Here is a 17,075-nt window from a genome sequence, read left to right as displayed (position 1 = left end):
ACTTCGCCAATGCAAAGCACCAGTGAATGAAAGCAAATTACCTTTGTCCAAGGACCCATCTGGTTTCTTGTGAAAGTAACTTAGCACCAAGCACCCTGGAAGTCATCAACCCATAATTAGGAAGAGCCCCTTGTACTCAGCACCAAAGTTGGGAGATGTGGGCCCAACCGCAGGTGGCAAAAATGACCATAAGTAATGGCTCCATCTTTTGGGGTGGAAAAAGGGCTCTGCAAGCCTTCCTCCAACGCTGCCCTGATAAGCAGGACCTAGCTCTGCAAATCCAAACCCCAGAAAGGAAATTGCATTTGAGAACATATAAAGGGAACAGTAAGGCCTGGACTAGAGTAGGGCAAGGGAGTGGGTAAAGGTGCAAATTTCAAGGAGGCCTCTCCCTTGAGGTTGCTGCTTCTTAAGTGTTGTGCTCTAGGCCTCTCTTGCTGTACCTTTGTCCTGCCCTGCGGAAGAGGCATAATCGAAACCCAGGATAGAAAAAATGTTTCTGGCTGGATGCGGTGACTCACACCTGTAATCCCTGCACTTTGGGAGGCCAAGGAGCGTGGATCACCTGAGGTCAGGAGCTTGAGACCAGCCTGGCCAACATGAAGAAACCCCATCTCTACTAAAAACACAAAAATTAGCCAGGCATAGTGGTGCGCACCTGTAATCCCAGCTACTCGGGAGGCTGAGGTAGAAGAATCGCTTGAATCCGGGAGGTGGAGGTTGCAGTGAGCCAAGATCGCGCCATTGCACTCCAGCCTGGGTGACAGAGTAAGACCCCGTCTCCAAAAAAGAAAAAACGTTTCTACTTCATCAAATATTTTTTCTCTTTCAAGGGAAGTTCTTTTAACATTTGGGCTGGTGATCCTATGTGTGCAATGGGCCCCAAAACACAGCAGTCCTTGCAGTAAACTTTTCATCATCACATAAGAAACAATGGGAAACCTTCCATTCTCTTTTGTACAATAGGAAGGAGACTTACTGCTACATACTGTTTAGTGTGGCCTTGACACTCACTTAAACATTCTGTCTTATAAGAGAATCACTTCACGGTTAAAGAAATGGGGAGATTTGAGCTTTCCAGGCCTGGAACAGCACCTGCTCAGGAAAACAGCATCATCATAGCTCCTGTTACTGACTTATTCATAAAAGGCATGAGAGCTGAACTATTCTTATCCTTCCTCCTTTACAGAGGGAAAAAAGGCTGAGAGGTTCTGGAACTTGACCACATCACACGCCAAGAAAATGGAAGGGCCTGGATTTAGCCCAATCACTTTATTTCTGTATTAACTCCAAACCAAAAGTATAAGGGACCCAAGAAAAGCTGAGGAGGTTGGCTGCTAGACACCAGTCTCCTGCTAGACACTAAATTGAGTAAATCATTATTCTTGAGAATAGAAAACATGGCTGCATTAAAAAAGGATGAGTTCATGTCCTTTGTAGGGACACGGATGAAGCTGGAAACCATAATTCTGAGCAAACTATTGCAAGGACAGAAAACCAAACACCGCATGTTCTCACTCATAGGTGGGAATTGAACAATTGAACAATGAGGACACTTGGACACAGGGTGGGGAACATCACGCACCGGGGCCTGTCGTGGGGTGGGGGGAGGGGGGAGGGATAGCATTAGGAGAAATACATAATGTAGATGATGAGTTAATGGGTGCAGCACACCGACATGGCACATGTATACATATGTTACTAACCTGCACCTTGTGCACATGTACCCTAGAACTTAAAGTATAGTAATAATAAAAAAGAAAACATGGCTGCATGTTGCTATATTAGAAAAGAAAACTGATTCAAACTCAATCTTGTTGATATGAAAATAAAAATGTAAAATATAAAAAAGAAAGGAATAGAAAAATGTATTGAGTTTGGTCAACAATTAAATAATTTAAAAGTTAGTTTGTGCCCATAATTTCAGTCAGTAGAAAATATCTGGATCTTAGTTTTTCCAAAAAACACTTTGACTTGTTGACTTTAGCAATGACTCAGCCGGTCTTAAAGTTATCTCTATTTCAGGTTTAGAAGGTAAATAAAGGGTAAATGATTACACTGTTTCTAGTCAGATGTTTTTCAGGGAAAATGGTAGTCAATGCATATAGTCACATCCATCTTTCCTGCTGGTTTCTGTCACCAGACTTTGATGTCTTCAAAGCAAGGCGAGTGAGTGGCACTCTTCAGACAAGAAGGAAGATGGCAGGTGAAATCATCTTCTTCTAATGAGCCCTGTGCTATGCTTGCTGATGTCCTTGGTCACGGAGATTTTCAGAAAAGCCATGGCCTTACCAGTGAAGGTTACACAGAGGCCACTGGAGTCAAGTAATTCATTGCTCCTTATTACATTTAGGCACTTCTTTATCCATCATGCAGGCTATTGGGATTAAAATGGGTCCTTTCAACAATGAGTCAATATTGAAGATTCTGTGGATCCATTTATTGACACATATTGGGTATTCTCTGGACACATTCCTTAACTTCAAAACTGTTTCTTGGACATTGTGCTAGGTGCTAAGGAAACACAAATGGAAGGTATAATTCTTGTCTTCTGGGTGTTCACTGTTGGGTCTGATGCCATACAACTATTGTGAACACACGAGGGAAGTGTAAGCTGTGGTTCTTGCCCTCAGCCTGAGGAGCACAGTCCCTGAGGTGGAAGGGTCTCCAGATGACAGCAGTGTCCATGCCTTATTTACCCTTGATTTCCAGCACCTGCCTCCTGCCCAGCACAGTTGGGCCCCAAACCTGATCACTGACGGGGTTGCTCTGGACCAGCCCATCACTCAATGCAGAGCTTCCTTCCAGTGTTTGGTGTCTGCTTGAGGATGTGGAGATATGAGGGCCTCTCTCCCACTCCTGCAGCCCATTCCATTGTTGCTTCACACTGATTACTAAGAGATTTCCCTGCCTGCCTTGTAACCTGACCAACAAACCCAGATTCTGCCCTCGGGAGTTACCCGAACTAAAACACTATACAGACTAAATCCCTGGTCTCTATATTATGCTTCAGGTATTTAGAGACATCTGTGCTGTATCTTGTTTTCCTTCTCTGGCCTCCAATATCCCTATTCCTTTACATACTTCTCAGGTGAATTAGTTTTGAGACTACATCATCATCCTATTGACCAGGCAAGACTAGCACCAATGATTAAATAATAGGATGAATCATCCTGTGATTAGGAGTGAAATTAATTCTTAGCTCTCTGAGTGGGTGTGATCTGGTGCATGCACATGTGTGTACATGTGGACAATTCAACAATTACAGGATGAAGATTAGCCAGCTGCTACTGGCAGGACAGGAGGGGTTCTCTTGGTTTTCAGAGGCATATCTGGACCCTCAGAAAGATTAACAATGAAACCAACAAACAAGTCCTTCTTCTCCATAGACTACCTTGATGAGACTTCTTGAATGTTGAGAGGGAAAATATATGAGGCTAATGGAAGACCCATAAGAGGGGACTAAGCCTCCTACTCTGCTTGGATCTGGCATGGCTCTTGGCTGTAGCATTTCTTCACTCTTTGTTGTCTGATCTCTTGAATACACTTGAGGATATGGGCAGTCTTTGCCTCTCATGCTCTTGTTAGAATAGTAAAAGGAGACAAATTGAAATTGAGAAGGTGCAGATCACAGGGACAGGGCAGCTAATGTGGGCAGTTTTCTGTCTGTGCTGGGATTATGCAACAGGCAGCGAGATCATTTGGTAGGTTAAACAACAGATTGAGCCTCCAGAATTTAGATTCTTTTGTTTTTGTTTTGTTTTGTTTTGTTTTGAGACGGAGTTTTGCTCTTCTCACCCAGGCTGGAGTACAGTGGCACAATCTCGCCACCTCCTGGGTTCAAGCGATTCTCCTGTCTCAGCCTCGAGTAGCTGGGATTACAGTACAGGTGCCCGCCACTACGCTCGGCTGATTTTTGATATTTTTAGTAGAGATGGGGTTTCACCATGTTGGCCAGGCTGGTCTCGAACTCCTAACGTCAGGTGATCTGCCTGCCTTGACCTCCCAAAGTGCTGGGATTACAGGCGTGAGCCACCGCGCCCTGCCAGAATTCAGATTCTAATGGAGACTGAGGCGTGGGAGGATGGATACTTGCAGGAAGGTAAGGGTAAGATGGAGAGAGGCTGGATGGGTGGGAGGAAGAGGTGTGGGAGCAACCTGATGAGGGAGCTTACATGGAGAATCAGGATAGACCCAAGTCCAAACCCTGGTGCCACTATTTACTTGCTATGTGACCTAACTAGAGATTAAATCTGGCTCTGCCTTTGTTTCTTCATCTGTTAAATACGGGCAGTAAAACCTGGCTAGTAGAGATGAGCTGAAAATTTAGTGAGATAACATTTGCAAAATGCTCAGCGTAGGGCCTGGCACAGGGTAAGGTATCAATAAATGGGAGTCCTTTTTTGTTGTTGTTTTTTGGGATGGAGTTTCACTCTGTCGCCCAGGCTGGAGTGCAGTGGCGCGATCTCGGCTTGCTATAACCGCCACCTTCTGGGTTCATGCGATTCTCCTGCCTCAGGCTCCCGAGAACCTGGGATTACAGGTGCCCACCACACCCAGCTAATTTTTGTATTTTTAGTAGAGATGGGGTTTCACCATGTTGGCCAGGCTGCTCTCGAACTCCTGACCTCAGGTGATCCACCCGCTTTGGCCTCCCAAAGTGCTGGGATTACAAGCATGAGCCACCGCGCCTGGCCGATAAATGAGAGTTCTTTATAGCTCTAATAATACACTAGGACTGAGAGCACAAAGAGGCAATATAGGGAACACTAAAGACCAAGATACGGTCTTTGCCTTCGAGTGGCCTGTCTCTAGAAGCGATACATCCTGGTGGCTAAGAGTAAGGGTTCCTTAGCTTTAACAACTCAGGCAAATTACTTAACTCACTGCATCTCATTTTATCCTTCTGTAAAAGGAATAGCAGCAATGTATACTTCAAAGGACTAATGAGAGCATTAAGTAATACGGTATGCTTAGCATTCCTGGCATCAGGTAAGCGGCTATATTACCACTTACTCAGACGGTAGAAATATAACAGGTAAACAGTGCTAGAGGTCACATCTTTTTCCATCAACAGGCTGGCAAAGAGAGGGTTGTGTGTCGGCAACTTCCTGTAACAAGAGGAACCGGAACAAAAGGGGGATAGTGGTACTGTAGGAAAGTAACCGATCAATCTTTCCCCATTCTTTGTGCTACAAGGAACAGCGGCCAACTCAGGGAACCCAATGAGGCAGGACTCAAAGAGAAGAAGGCAGTAGGCATAGGTCAGAGTGGCTGGTTGGGGCTCAGGATGCGAGTACACAGCTAAGTTTCCTGCAAGGTGGAGAAGCAGGCACAGAGGTGCTGGGACAATGAAACAGGGCTGAGGAAGGAGAGGCGAGCAGCTCAGAAGCTTCCCTGGGAGGGGATTCCGTAGGCATTTAAAAGATTGTGTTTGCCCAGTGGACTTTCAGCTTCCCATTGGAGTCTGCAAGTATAATCACCAGGGCTGGCTTTCCAGGTGTGTGTCCTGTGCAGGCCCCTGCACTTAAAAGGACCCTGTGCCTGTGGAATGTTCTGCTGTGGCTGTCTTGAAATTCTTTTTTTATTCAAGACAGAGTCTCGGTCTTTTACCCAGGCTAGAGTGCAATGGTGCGATCTCGGCTCACTGCAACCTCCGCCTCCCAGGTTCAAACGATTCTCCCGCCTCAGCCTCCTGAGTAGCTGGGACTACAGGCATGTGCCACCCTGCCTGGCTAAGTTTTGTATTTTTAGTAGAGACAGGGGTTCACCATGTTGACCAGCCTGAATTTTTAGCAAGGGCCCTGGGTTTTCATCTTGCATTGGGCCATGTAAATCATATAGCCAGTCATTAATCATAACTAGTACGTTAGAGGAACCAAGTGCTGTAGGCATTTGCAGGAGAGTGGGGGTGGGGTGGGGGGAGTGGATCATTTCCAGCTGAGGGTGGACAGGGGGAGAGGAAAGAAGGTGTTGTGGACAGGGGACACTTTGAATTTGACCCTGAAGGATGGGCAGGATTTGGATAGATAGAAATGGGAGTACGGCTATCGGTTGGAAGGAATATGTTGGCAAAGTCGAGGTGTAGGAGTATGGACTTTGCTTAGGGAATGGTAGAAATCCTTGTGAACCTGGAGTCTGCTCTTGAGCTGCTCACATCTAGGCCCTTCCACAGGAATGCCATGCTCAGGTGGCCTTTCTATAGGGAGCCTTTTTCAAGGTCTTTAAAATCCTTTCTTCCAATTACCACTCTGCTAGGTGCCTGCCCAACTAATAAATTAAATCCAGCCATGTTATTCATCGAAACCTCAAGGCACAGCTGGAGAAAAGCAGATTTTTTAAAGAATCAGAAATTTTAAATTGAAAATATGGTCACTGCCGGGCGCGGTGGCTCAAGCCTGTAATCCCAGCACTTTGGGAGGCCAAGGCAGGCGGATCACCTGAGGTCAGGAGTTTGAGACCAGCCTGGCCAACCTGGTGAAACTCAGTCTCTACTAAAAACAAAAATTAGCTGGGAGTGGTGATGGGCGCCTGTAATCCCAGCTACTCGGGAGGCTGAGGCAGGAGAATCACTTGAACCTGGTAGGTGGAGGTTGTGGTGAGCCGAGATTGTGCCACTGCACTCCGGCCTAGGTGACAAAGTGAGACTCCATCTCAAAAAAAAAAAAAAAGAAAAATATGGAATTGAGGCTGGGCGTGGTGGCTCATACCTATAATCCCAGCACTTTGAGAAGCCAAGTTGGGAGGACCACTTAAGCCTAGGAGTTTGAGAACAGCCCAGCAATATGGTGAGATGCTGTCTCTAGGAAAAACAAAAAAAATAACTGTTATGGTGGCGTGCACCTGCATTCCCAGCTACACTGAAGGCTAAGGTGGAAGGATTGCTTCAGCCCAGGAGGTTGAGGCTGCAGTGAGCTATGATCATACCACTGCGCTCCAGCCTGGGTGACAGAGTGAGACCCTGACTCGAAAAAATGGGAAAAAATTGTCATTTAAATAAAAGAAAAATACTTAAAACAGGTCAAATAATAGATCAAATACAGACCAAGGGAAAAATCAATTAAGAATCCCTATCAAGCTTGGTGTCATGGCATGTGCCTATAGTATCACCAGCTTCTAGGAGTATCTAGTAGCTGATGAGACTACTAGGAGCCCAGGAGTTTGAGTCCAGCCTGTGCAATGTAGCAAAACATGGAAAGAAAAGAAAAGAAAAGAAAAGGGAAGGGAAGGGAGAGAGAGAAAGAAAAGAAAGAAAAAGAAAGGAAGGAAGGAAGGAAGGAAGGAAGGAAGGAAGGAAGGGAGGGAAGGAAGGAAGTAAGGAAGGGAGGGAGTGAGGGAGGGAAGAAAGGAAGGAAGAGGGAAGGAAGGAAGGAAAGAGAAACGAAGGAAGGAAGAGAAAAGAAAAAATATACAATTCTCATCATCTATCTTGCTCTCTTGATCTTTTATATCACAACTTCTGTGTAGGGATTTGCACAGCTGGCAAGAGGTAGAGGCAGAATTCTGACCAGGATCCAAATCCTGCCCTGTGTCGTGTGCCCCACAGTGCGACAACTCCTGCTTCACTCCCTCAGGGTGGGTTTCCCCAAACAGAAGCCTGGAGTTGTTCAGAAAACAGTGCAAGTGTTGGCTCTTACAAAATCACCTAGAGTCATACCATAGTGACACAGATGAGAAACAACATAAAATGAAAAAGGCATTTTTCTTTTAAAAATCTCACAATTTCTACCCTCAACTGACTATCCTAAAATTTGCATTTGAAATTGTATGTCTATGAACATATGACTGTCATCACTTATATTAACTCAGCATATTGTGAATGACGTGCCAATGTACATGTTGTTGTATTCCTTAGATTTGCATAAATATTGAACCTTGCCACTTGCTCAACAAGCTTTGATTTTTCTTTTTTCTTTCTTTCTTTTTTGAGATGGAGTTTCACTCTTGTTGGAGTGGAAGGCTGGAGTGCAGTGGTGCAAGCTCGTCTCACTGCAACCTCCGCCTCCCGGGTTCAAGTGATTCTCCTGCCTCAGCCTCCCAAGTAGCTGGGATTACAGGTGCCCGGCAGCATGCCCAGCTAATTTTTTGTATTTTCAGTAGTGAGGGGGTTTCACCGTGTTGGCCAGGCTTGTCTGGATCTCCTGACCTCAAGTGATCCGCCCACCTCCTCCTCCCAAAATGGTGGGATTACAGGCGTGAGCCACCACGCCCTGCCAAGCTTTGATTTTTCTTTTCCAATATGTGTCCCATAGCTTCTAAAAGTTTCAGCTCCCGCTCCTGAATTAAACAGGACAGAGTTGCATAGATAGCTAGTATGTTTTGTGCAGTCCCAGAGCCTCAGCCTCCTCCAAGCTGTGCTGCTGCTCTCTGGGAACTAGTGGGACGGACCACCTGCAGTAGGGCTGGAGAGTCAGGACCAACAGGCCTGGCCTGGTAACAGAGCCTCCGTGATCAATGGGAACAACAAGAGTGTTGCTTAGTTTTGGCTTCTGGCTCAGCCCTACTTTGAACTCATATCCAAGTTCTGTTACAAATAAGAACTGAAGAGACTGTCCCTAGAGGACCCCAGGAAGTTCAGGTATCTCTGTTTTGATGCCTGTTGACAGCTTGTAACACAGCAGAGAAAAGAGGCCTTCCTCTACAGTCTGCACAGAGCTCTGGATGGCCCTGGGTGCTCCGTGGCCTCAGCTGGGGCAGGAGAGGGCAGGGTCCAGTAGCCGGGCAGTGCCCGGGTCGAGGAAGCAGTGCCCAGCAACAGGCCGCAGTGTCTAGGAGAAGGCAGCAGTGCCCAGGGCAGGCAGTCACGCCCTGAAGAAGGGAGTGGTCCTCTCATAGTTCCTATGTCATTTGATCACTGCTAAAAAACAATGTCCACTCACTGTATACTAAAACACAGCATATTCTGAAAAGTGAACAGAGAATACAACCCTTAACCAAAAGAAATTTGGGAACGTCACATTTAAGAAGGGATAGGAAATGGTTACCAAGGACAGTTTAAACCAACAGAGACGACATGTAAAGAGGAGATTGTAAAGAGGGGCGGCAGCATTATCTCTTGGTAGAAAATCCAAAACTAACAGGTCAAGGTTCAGTGACTTTCTGATGTAATGAAGTGTAAGTTCAAAGTCCTTTTGTTATTCAGTGTCCAGGGAAAAATTATTGACCAGAGAACCCGAGCAGGGAATCGGGGCATACAGGGTGACCTGGAGTGGATGGGGATGGGGCCTAGGGCACCCTAATTTCCGTCAGCACTTCCCTTCCTTTGCTATGAATGACTGGTGTTTTCTCAGTTGAACATAAAATGCTATGTGAGCGCCACTTTGTGACATGTCAGTCCACCTCACCACCGGCCAGGCTACCTGAGCTCCACCCAAGTAGAAATTCTAACCCACCAGCAGCTACGAGCCTAAGTTCTGTCTCTGCCCTGCCACTCTCTGATGGTGTCTCTAACACACACACACACACACACACACACACACACACATGCCACATGTACTTTTCCACTTACAGGCCAGGCTGTTTTGGGGTGCACAAGGGCAGAGCCAGGGGGCCTACTACTCTGGAAACAGGGCTATAACCATGAGGTTGTCAGACTTTGATTTTTTGCAATTGCCTCAATTGTTTAGTTTTTTCCTTAGCCGAGGCATTTTGTTAAATACTAAAATAAGTGTGTGACTTAAAGTTCCTATCATTCTAACACTTTCCATTCAGATGCATTCATCAACAAGGAATGAAGTCACCTTTCAGAGCACACGTGTCAGGTCTGGAGCAGCTACAACTTACTGCTGTCCTGAGAGCACAGGGCCTGCTTGGCACAGCTCCTCTACTATGGTCCGCTTCTCTTGCTATAAACAGCGGTGGCCAGGGTCTGGTTCCGTGCCATACATAGAGGAGGTGGTGATGACATTTTCAAAGAAGAATGTGTGTGAAGGAGGAGGAAGGGGAGGTGGGAGAAGGTGATGAAAACCATGCTGCAGGAGTGGAGAAAACCAGAACCAGGGCAGGCGCTGTGGCTCATGCCTATAATCCCAGCACTTTGGGAGGCCAAGACGGGCAGATGACAAGGTCAGGAGTTCGAGACCAGCCTGGCCAACATGATGAAACCCCCATCTCTACAAAAAATACAAAAATTAGCCAGGCGTGGAGGTGTGTGCCTGGAATCCCAGCAATTGAGCAATTCTCATGCCTCAGCCTCCTAAGTAGCTGGGATTACAGGAGGCAGAGGTTGCAGTGAGCCGAGATCGTGCCATTGCACTCCAGCTTGGGTGACGAAGGGGAAACTCTTTCTCAAAAGAAAAAAAAAAAGAAAACCAGGCTGGGGCACAGTGGCTCACACCTGTAATCTCAGCAGCTTGGGAGGCTGAGGTTGGCAGATCACTCAAGGTCAGGAGTTTGAGACCAGCCTGGCCAACATGGTGAAACCCCGTCTCTACTAAAAATACAAAAAAGTACCCAGGCATGGTGGCGCACGCCTGTAATCCCAGCTACTTGGGAGGCTGAGGCAAGAGAATCATTTGAACCTGGGAGGCGGAGGTTGCAGTGAGCTGAGATCGCGCCACTGCACTTTAGCCTGGAGAACAAGAGTGAAACTCTGTTTTGAAAAAGAAAGAAGAAAGAAAGAGAGAGGGAAAGAAAGAGAAAGAAAGAAGGGAAGGAGCGAGGGAGGGAGGGAAGGAAGGAAGGAAAAAGAAAGGAAGGAAGGGAAAGGAGGGAAGGAGAGAAGGAAGGAAGGAAGGAAAAAAGAAAGAAGAAAGGAAGGAAGGAAGGAAGAGAAAGAAAGAGAAAGAAAGAAAGAAAGAAAGAAAGAAAGAAAGAAAGAAAGAAAGAAAGAAAGAAAGAAAGAAAGAAAACCAGACTCATCATCAGCAAACCCCAGATGAGGATGCCTAATAGATTGGAAGGCACCTTCTTAAGCTGTGTGTTGGGAGGAGTCTGAGCTCAGGGATCTGCTGCGGAGGACAGGCTGGAGCACGGCCTGCACCCCACCCTGCACTGGCTGGACTCCTCTGTGTAGGAGCTGGGCTCTGGGTATCCCTGGTTTCCCAGTGCCTCCTGAAGTTCATGCACATAGTGGCTGTTTAATAAATGTTTAAGCAATGAAGTATATTGTTTTAATCTTATTTTTCCCATTGAAGAAACCTACAATTGCTCCTGATGTTTTCTCTTTTTTTTTTTTTTTTTTGAATAACAAGGAACTGAGTATATGTATATTTCATCAGGGGAGGGGCTAGGACTCCCACTTGGAGGCCTCAGGAGTTCTGCTGGGCGTCGCGAAGGAGCTTCTCCTCCCGCCGCTTCCGCTTCCGTAACCTCTCTTTGAATTCCTCTAACTCTTGAAGCTTCTCAGGTGGCCACAGCTCCCTCTTGCGCTGTATGACATCATCCTCAAACCACTCGGCCTGATTGGAAACCCAGAACATAGCCACAGGGAAAGTGAGGTAGATTATCATCCGAAATATCTCCAGCTTCACCCCCATCTCGTTTCTCCCCCTGATTGTTTCTTTATACCAAATGAAAGCTTTCACGAGTGAGCTCTCCCTCTCTCCTTTTGATGTAATTGTGCCCACTTCATCTCTACACCAGAGATCATGGGCTTTTCTCTGGCTGCCAAGAGTACAGAGAGCCCCTCCCTGAGTCATATGGGGAGGGGTAGGCATGAATAGGCCCCGGGCAGCACTCGGAAAGGGGAGTTAATATGACACTAGAATGACCTGGAAGCTGGACAGCAACCAATCTGTTTCCCTGCATGACTCTCCATAGTTGATAGAATGTGCACCGGATCCATCCTTTCCACAGCAGGCAGTGCCCTTTCATGCAAATAGAGGAACATTTTAAAAAATGTTCTTTGTGGCAGGGTGCGGTGGCTCACGCCTGTAATCCCAGCACTTTGGGAGGCCGAGGCGGGCGGATCAGGAGGTCAGGAGATCGAGACCATCCTAGCTAACACAGTGAAACCCCGTCGCTACTAAAAAATACAAAAAAAAATTAGCCAGGCGTGGTGGCGGGCACCTGTAGTCCCAGCTACACGGGAGGCTGAGGCAGGAGAATGGCATGAACCCGGGAGGTGGAGCTTGCAGTGAGCCGAGATCACGCCACTGCACTCCAGCCTGGGCCACAGAGCGAGACTCCGTCTCAAAAAAAAAAAAAAAAAAAGATGTTTTTTGCTGGTTCTGGGCTTTCCTTCTTGAGGGTTTTTGCAAACTGTGCCTTCAAGCTCAGACTGTGACAGGGACTCTCAGACCAGCCAGTGGGCTGTTGCCAGCTGTCAGGAGTCCAAGTCAGCCAAAAATCTGAAATATCACTGTTTATAGCAAACAACTAATATATTTTATTATCTAAATTGTAAAAATCCCTTAATATTTACCTTAAGGAGATTCATAAAATTAATAACTACACAACAAACAAAAAGAGACAAACAAAAATTTAAAAAATAATAGAGCAAACAGGCTGAGCACGGTGGCTCCTGCCTGTAATCGCAGCCCTTTGGAAGGCCGAGGCGGGAGGATCGCTTCAGCCCAGGAGTTCAATACCAGCCTGGGCAACATAGTGAGATCCACATCTCTATATAAAAACATTAATAAACAGTATTTTAAAAATAATAATAAATTTTTAAAGGAATACAGCAAACAAAAGTGGGAGAATTTTGCCAACATACGATTAGAAAAAAAAAATTTAAAGATATTTACAACCTCGTCTCTACAAAAAATATGAAAATTAGTCAGGCATGGTGGCATGCACCTGTGGTCCCAGCTACTTGGGAGGCTGAGATGGGTGGATGGCTTGAGCTTGGGAGGTCAAGGCTGCAGTGAGCCATGACTGTGCCACTGCAGTCCAGCCTGGGTGACAGAGTGAGACTCTGTCAAAATGTATATATAATATATATATTTATATATAACATATGATGTTTATATTATATATATTATATACAATGTTTATATGATATATATTTTATATAATATACAATGTTTATATTATATATATTTATATATAAATTTTATATTACATATTTATATTTTATATATAATATATATTTATTTATAAATATATTATATATATTTTTCCCCAGAGGCCTTTAAGCCCATAACCATGTAAGTAGCCTATCTTCTTAGTATGTATAAGTGTTTAACATTATTCATTAAAATAAACAGAAAATGGAAATGAAAGCCAATTATAGTTATGCTTATGTTTTTATCATATAGTCAGCACATGCAATAATTTATCTTTAATATAAAGGAAGAGGGTGCATATACAACTTGTACCAAACAAAATTATTTTCTCCCTGTCCCCTGCGTAAATGTGCAATGTAGAATGTTGTTTTCAGTGTGTGCCAATCTGTGAACCAGCTTGGGAAGGCTCTGCCTTGGTCTGGCCCTCCCCTGGCACGTGTTCACCCGGGTGACAGTTGTGCTATGGTGCAGCCCGACCTGGTCTCCATGCACAGCTCTCATGAGTTCCTCCTTCATGAGACAGTCTCAGAACTCAGCCTAGCTCTAGCCCCTCCTGTGCCTTCAGCCATCACTCTGCACTTGCTCATAACAGTTCTGAATGACGTGAGCTGCATGGGCTTCCATGCAAGCAGCACCTTTCATGCTGGGGCTTAGAAGGATCAACTGTCCAGGTTTGTCTGGGACTGAGAAGTTTCTGGGACATGGGACTTTCAGTGCTAAAACAGAAAAAGTCCCAGGCAAACAGAGATGATCTGGTTACCCTAGTGCTGGTGGGGAAAGGCAATGGGTCACACCAAGCGCTGTAACTCTGGACTGCCAGATCTCTAGCAGTGAAGGTCAGAGGTCTGAGGCTTCCTGCTATACAAACACTCTGCCAGGTGGCGTGTCTCAGGCCAGCTCCTGAGATGTCTGCTCTCATTTCTCCCGAGGCTCTGTGGCTGTTTTATCTTTCCCTCTTTCCATGTTTAGTAATAGCCCTCATAGCAGTTTCTGTTTTTCTGGGCCTAGAGCAGGCTGAGAATGTAGGATTGGTTTCCATGTATTCTCTGCAGATATTCTTCAGCGGAGACATTCTTGGTTTTTTCCCAAGGAAAGGGTGTCACGGGGTCAGAAATCCACACCTGTGCAGGTCAATGAATGTTTTACACTGTTTGACATTGGGGAAATTTGTTAGTGTTTCAAAAATATGTCTTAACAGAGATGCAAATTGGTTCAAAAAGTTTAGTCACATTTATTATATAACAGTAATAATACCTAATATTTAATGAGTGCTTGTTACATACCAGGTACTTTAAATATATCATATTGTTCAATCTTCACAATATGAGTTGGGTGAGGAGGCTCAGAGAGGTTGTCATACTTGTTCAAGGTCATGGAGCTAATAATTGGAAGAGAAGGGATTTAAATCCAGTCTCACCGCAGAGCCAGCACTTGGACTTAGAACTGTAGACTCGGAGCTAAGCACAATCATGTTTGAGCAAACCAATGAGAAGACTGCAGTTTCACATACTGCTTTCTGGACAACTGTGCGGTGTGTCAATTAAGTGTGTTTCCTTCCTGGACCTAGGTCTATGTAATTGAGGGGGCTCTCAGTTTCTATAGCAAGAGTTAAATAAAAGACAACATGATATCTGTGCACTGAGTGGATCCAGGAATTATCCACGGTTTGGCCACAGTGTCCAAAATTTTATTATCATTCTGGGATTCATATTCATGTGGGATTCATATCACCAGAATTCCAGAGACACCACACTCAGGGCTGGTAGCCTATGGCTACTTCTCAGCTCAGCCAGTTCCTCTCAGAAGTGAGCCATGCTGATAAAAGTCTGGGCTTGAAAATTCCTAAGGTTTGTGCTTCAAAGGCCACCATAGAAATAAATTTTAGAAACCACGTACTGTGATAGTTTGTGACAGCTCAGTTTTGCATTACCTTCCTTGATCAAATTCTCTGTATGCACATACATGCTCAGATGAGCTGGTTTGAGTTCTTCCCTAGAGTTTCAAGTTCAGTGCCTTCAAATATCACATCAATAGTGTCTTGGGGCTGGGCAAGGTGGCTCACACCTGTAATCCCAGCACTTTGGGAGGCCAAGGCAGGCAGATCACCTGAGGTCAGGAGTTCAAGACCAGCCTGGCCAACATAGCAAAACCCTGTCTCTACTAAAAATATAAAAATTAGGCGGGCATGGTGGTGGGTGCCTGTAATCCCAGCTACTCAGGAGCCTGAGGCAGGAGAATCCCTTGAACTTAGGAGGCAGAGGTTGCAATGAGCTGAGAAAAAAAAAAGTGTCTTGGTCTGTTTTCTGTTGCTTGTAACAGAATATCTGGAACTGAATAATTTATAAATAAAAAAATGTATTTCTTACAGTTATGGAGGCTGAGAAGTGCAAGTTCAAGAGGCCAGATCTGGCGAGGGCCTTCCTGTTGGTGAGGACACTGCAGACTCCCCAGATGGTGCAGGGCATCACATGGTGAGGGGGCTGAGCATGCTAGTTCAGGCCTCTCTTTCTCTTCATAAAAGCCAACAACCCTATTGATTCACTGGTCCATGAGTAGATTAATCCATTCACAAAGGCAATCACCTCATGATCCAATCGCCTCTTAAAAGCTCCCCCTCTCAATACTGCCACATCGGGGATTTTCAACATGAGTTTTGGAGGGGGCTAAAATTCAAACCATAGCAAGTAGAAATGCCTATTTTTAGGTTGTTCTTATGGGCTTCACAGAGAATTTCTCAAAGGTCTTGTTCTGAGTTCTAAAATCTCTTTCATTATCTACAGTTTTACCATCTAAGTGGATCAAAAATCGAGGAATCCTTTACGTTCTTCTTCAATGTCTTCAAAATGCCCCCTACAAAGGCAATGGCCACACATGAAGGGGACATAGCTTTAACCACTTGCTCATCAACAGACTGGGCTTGTGAGGCCCAGGGCAAAAATCCTGTGATGGATAATGCAGGCAATGCAGAGTGTGGCCTCCTTCTCTGTTTATTGCATAGACTGTTGAAACATGTTTTACTGTCATTTTTTTGTTTGTTTGTTTTTGAGACAGAGTCCCGGTCTCTTGCCCAGGCTGGAGTGCAGTGGCGTGATCTCGTGATCTCGGCTCACTGCAACCTCCGCCTCCCGGGTTCAAGTGATTCCCCTGCCTCAGCCTCCTGAGTAGCTGGGATTACAGGCATGCACCACCGTGCCCAGCTAATTTTTGTATCTTTAGTAGAGATGGGGTTTCACCATGTTGGTCGGGCTGGTCTCAAACTCCTGACCTCATGATCCGCCCGCCTTGGCCTCCCAAAGTGCTGAGATTACAGGCATGAGCCACCGCGCCCGGCCATTGTCATAATTTAATTGTAAGTGTTCTTTCTGTGGTAAATGAACTCAACTTTCCATGTTTAACTAACATATTTAAGATTTCTTACTGGCCAGTGATTCAGCCTTTGTTTGTCTTGCTTGCTGGCTAATTAGGTGTGTGCGTTTTATGTTAAAAAGCTCTCTTATATATCCCAGCACCTAGCACAGTGCCTGGCAATCAGAAGAAATAAATTCAGTGATGATTATGTTGAGTCCTGTAGAGTAGTAGAAGATACAATTTACTTGAAGAGACTTTTCTCATACTATTAGGTTTAAAAAAACAGATAGTTGTCCTCTTTTTCTGGAACTGGGATCTGAGAGGTGTTGGCAGCTATAGTGAGAAACCAGATCTGTCATTTGACATTCCTCTCAGTTTCGAGTGTCCATAGATCAGCATCTCTCATGTTCTCATTAATATCACCGATGTGTAATCCACATTTCCCAGGCACCCCAGCAGAGAAAGGGATAATCCTAGGGGCCAGAATGGTGTGACATTTGCTCAGATCTCATCCCTGAAACTCCAGCTGCGAGAATGCTTTCCTTCCTTGATGGCAGGGATAGGGGTTGGTACTCATGGACTTGCAAATGGTCACCTCATTCTTTCTGAATTCACTTGCCTTTTGTGAGCACTATGTGGCCCCTCCATGGCTGTTCTGATGTTCCACAGTCTCAGCTGCTAATTGTATGGCTGTCTCATTTGATCACCTGGGGCAAACTGTATTTTCCAAAAAATGGCCACAACAATATTTGCAGGTCTACATATCCTTCAGAACCTTAA

At 45.4% G+C, this 17,075-nt stretch overlaps 1 pseudogene, besides 1 other annotated feature; it reads right to left on the bottom strand.

Moving 5' to 3' along the window:
• PET100P1 (PET100 pseudogene 1) lies at positions 11,182-11,489 on the bottom strand (annotated as a pseudogene).
• Positions 11,219-11,513: an enhancer, noted in NCBI's record as "tiled region #9080; HepG2 Activating non-DNase unmatched - State 6:EnhF, and K562 Activating DNase unmatched - State 5:Enh". NCBI's record gives its function as "activates a minimal TATA promoter and a strong SV40 promoter by Sharpr-MPRA in HepG2 and K562 cells {active_cell/tissue: HepG2 | K562}" and the evidence as "EXISTENCE:reporter gene assay evidence [ECO:0000049][PMID:27701403]".

Source organism: Homo sapiens, chromosome 3, assembly GCF_000001405.40.
Source record: "Homo sapiens chromosome 3, GRCh38.p14 Primary Assembly".
NCBI classification, from domain to species: domain Eukaryota; kingdom Metazoa; phylum Chordata; class Mammalia; order Primates; family Hominidae; genus Homo; species Homo sapiens.
Note: the sequence above shows the minus strand (reverse complement) of the source record. Positions and strands in the feature narration are given on the sequence as shown.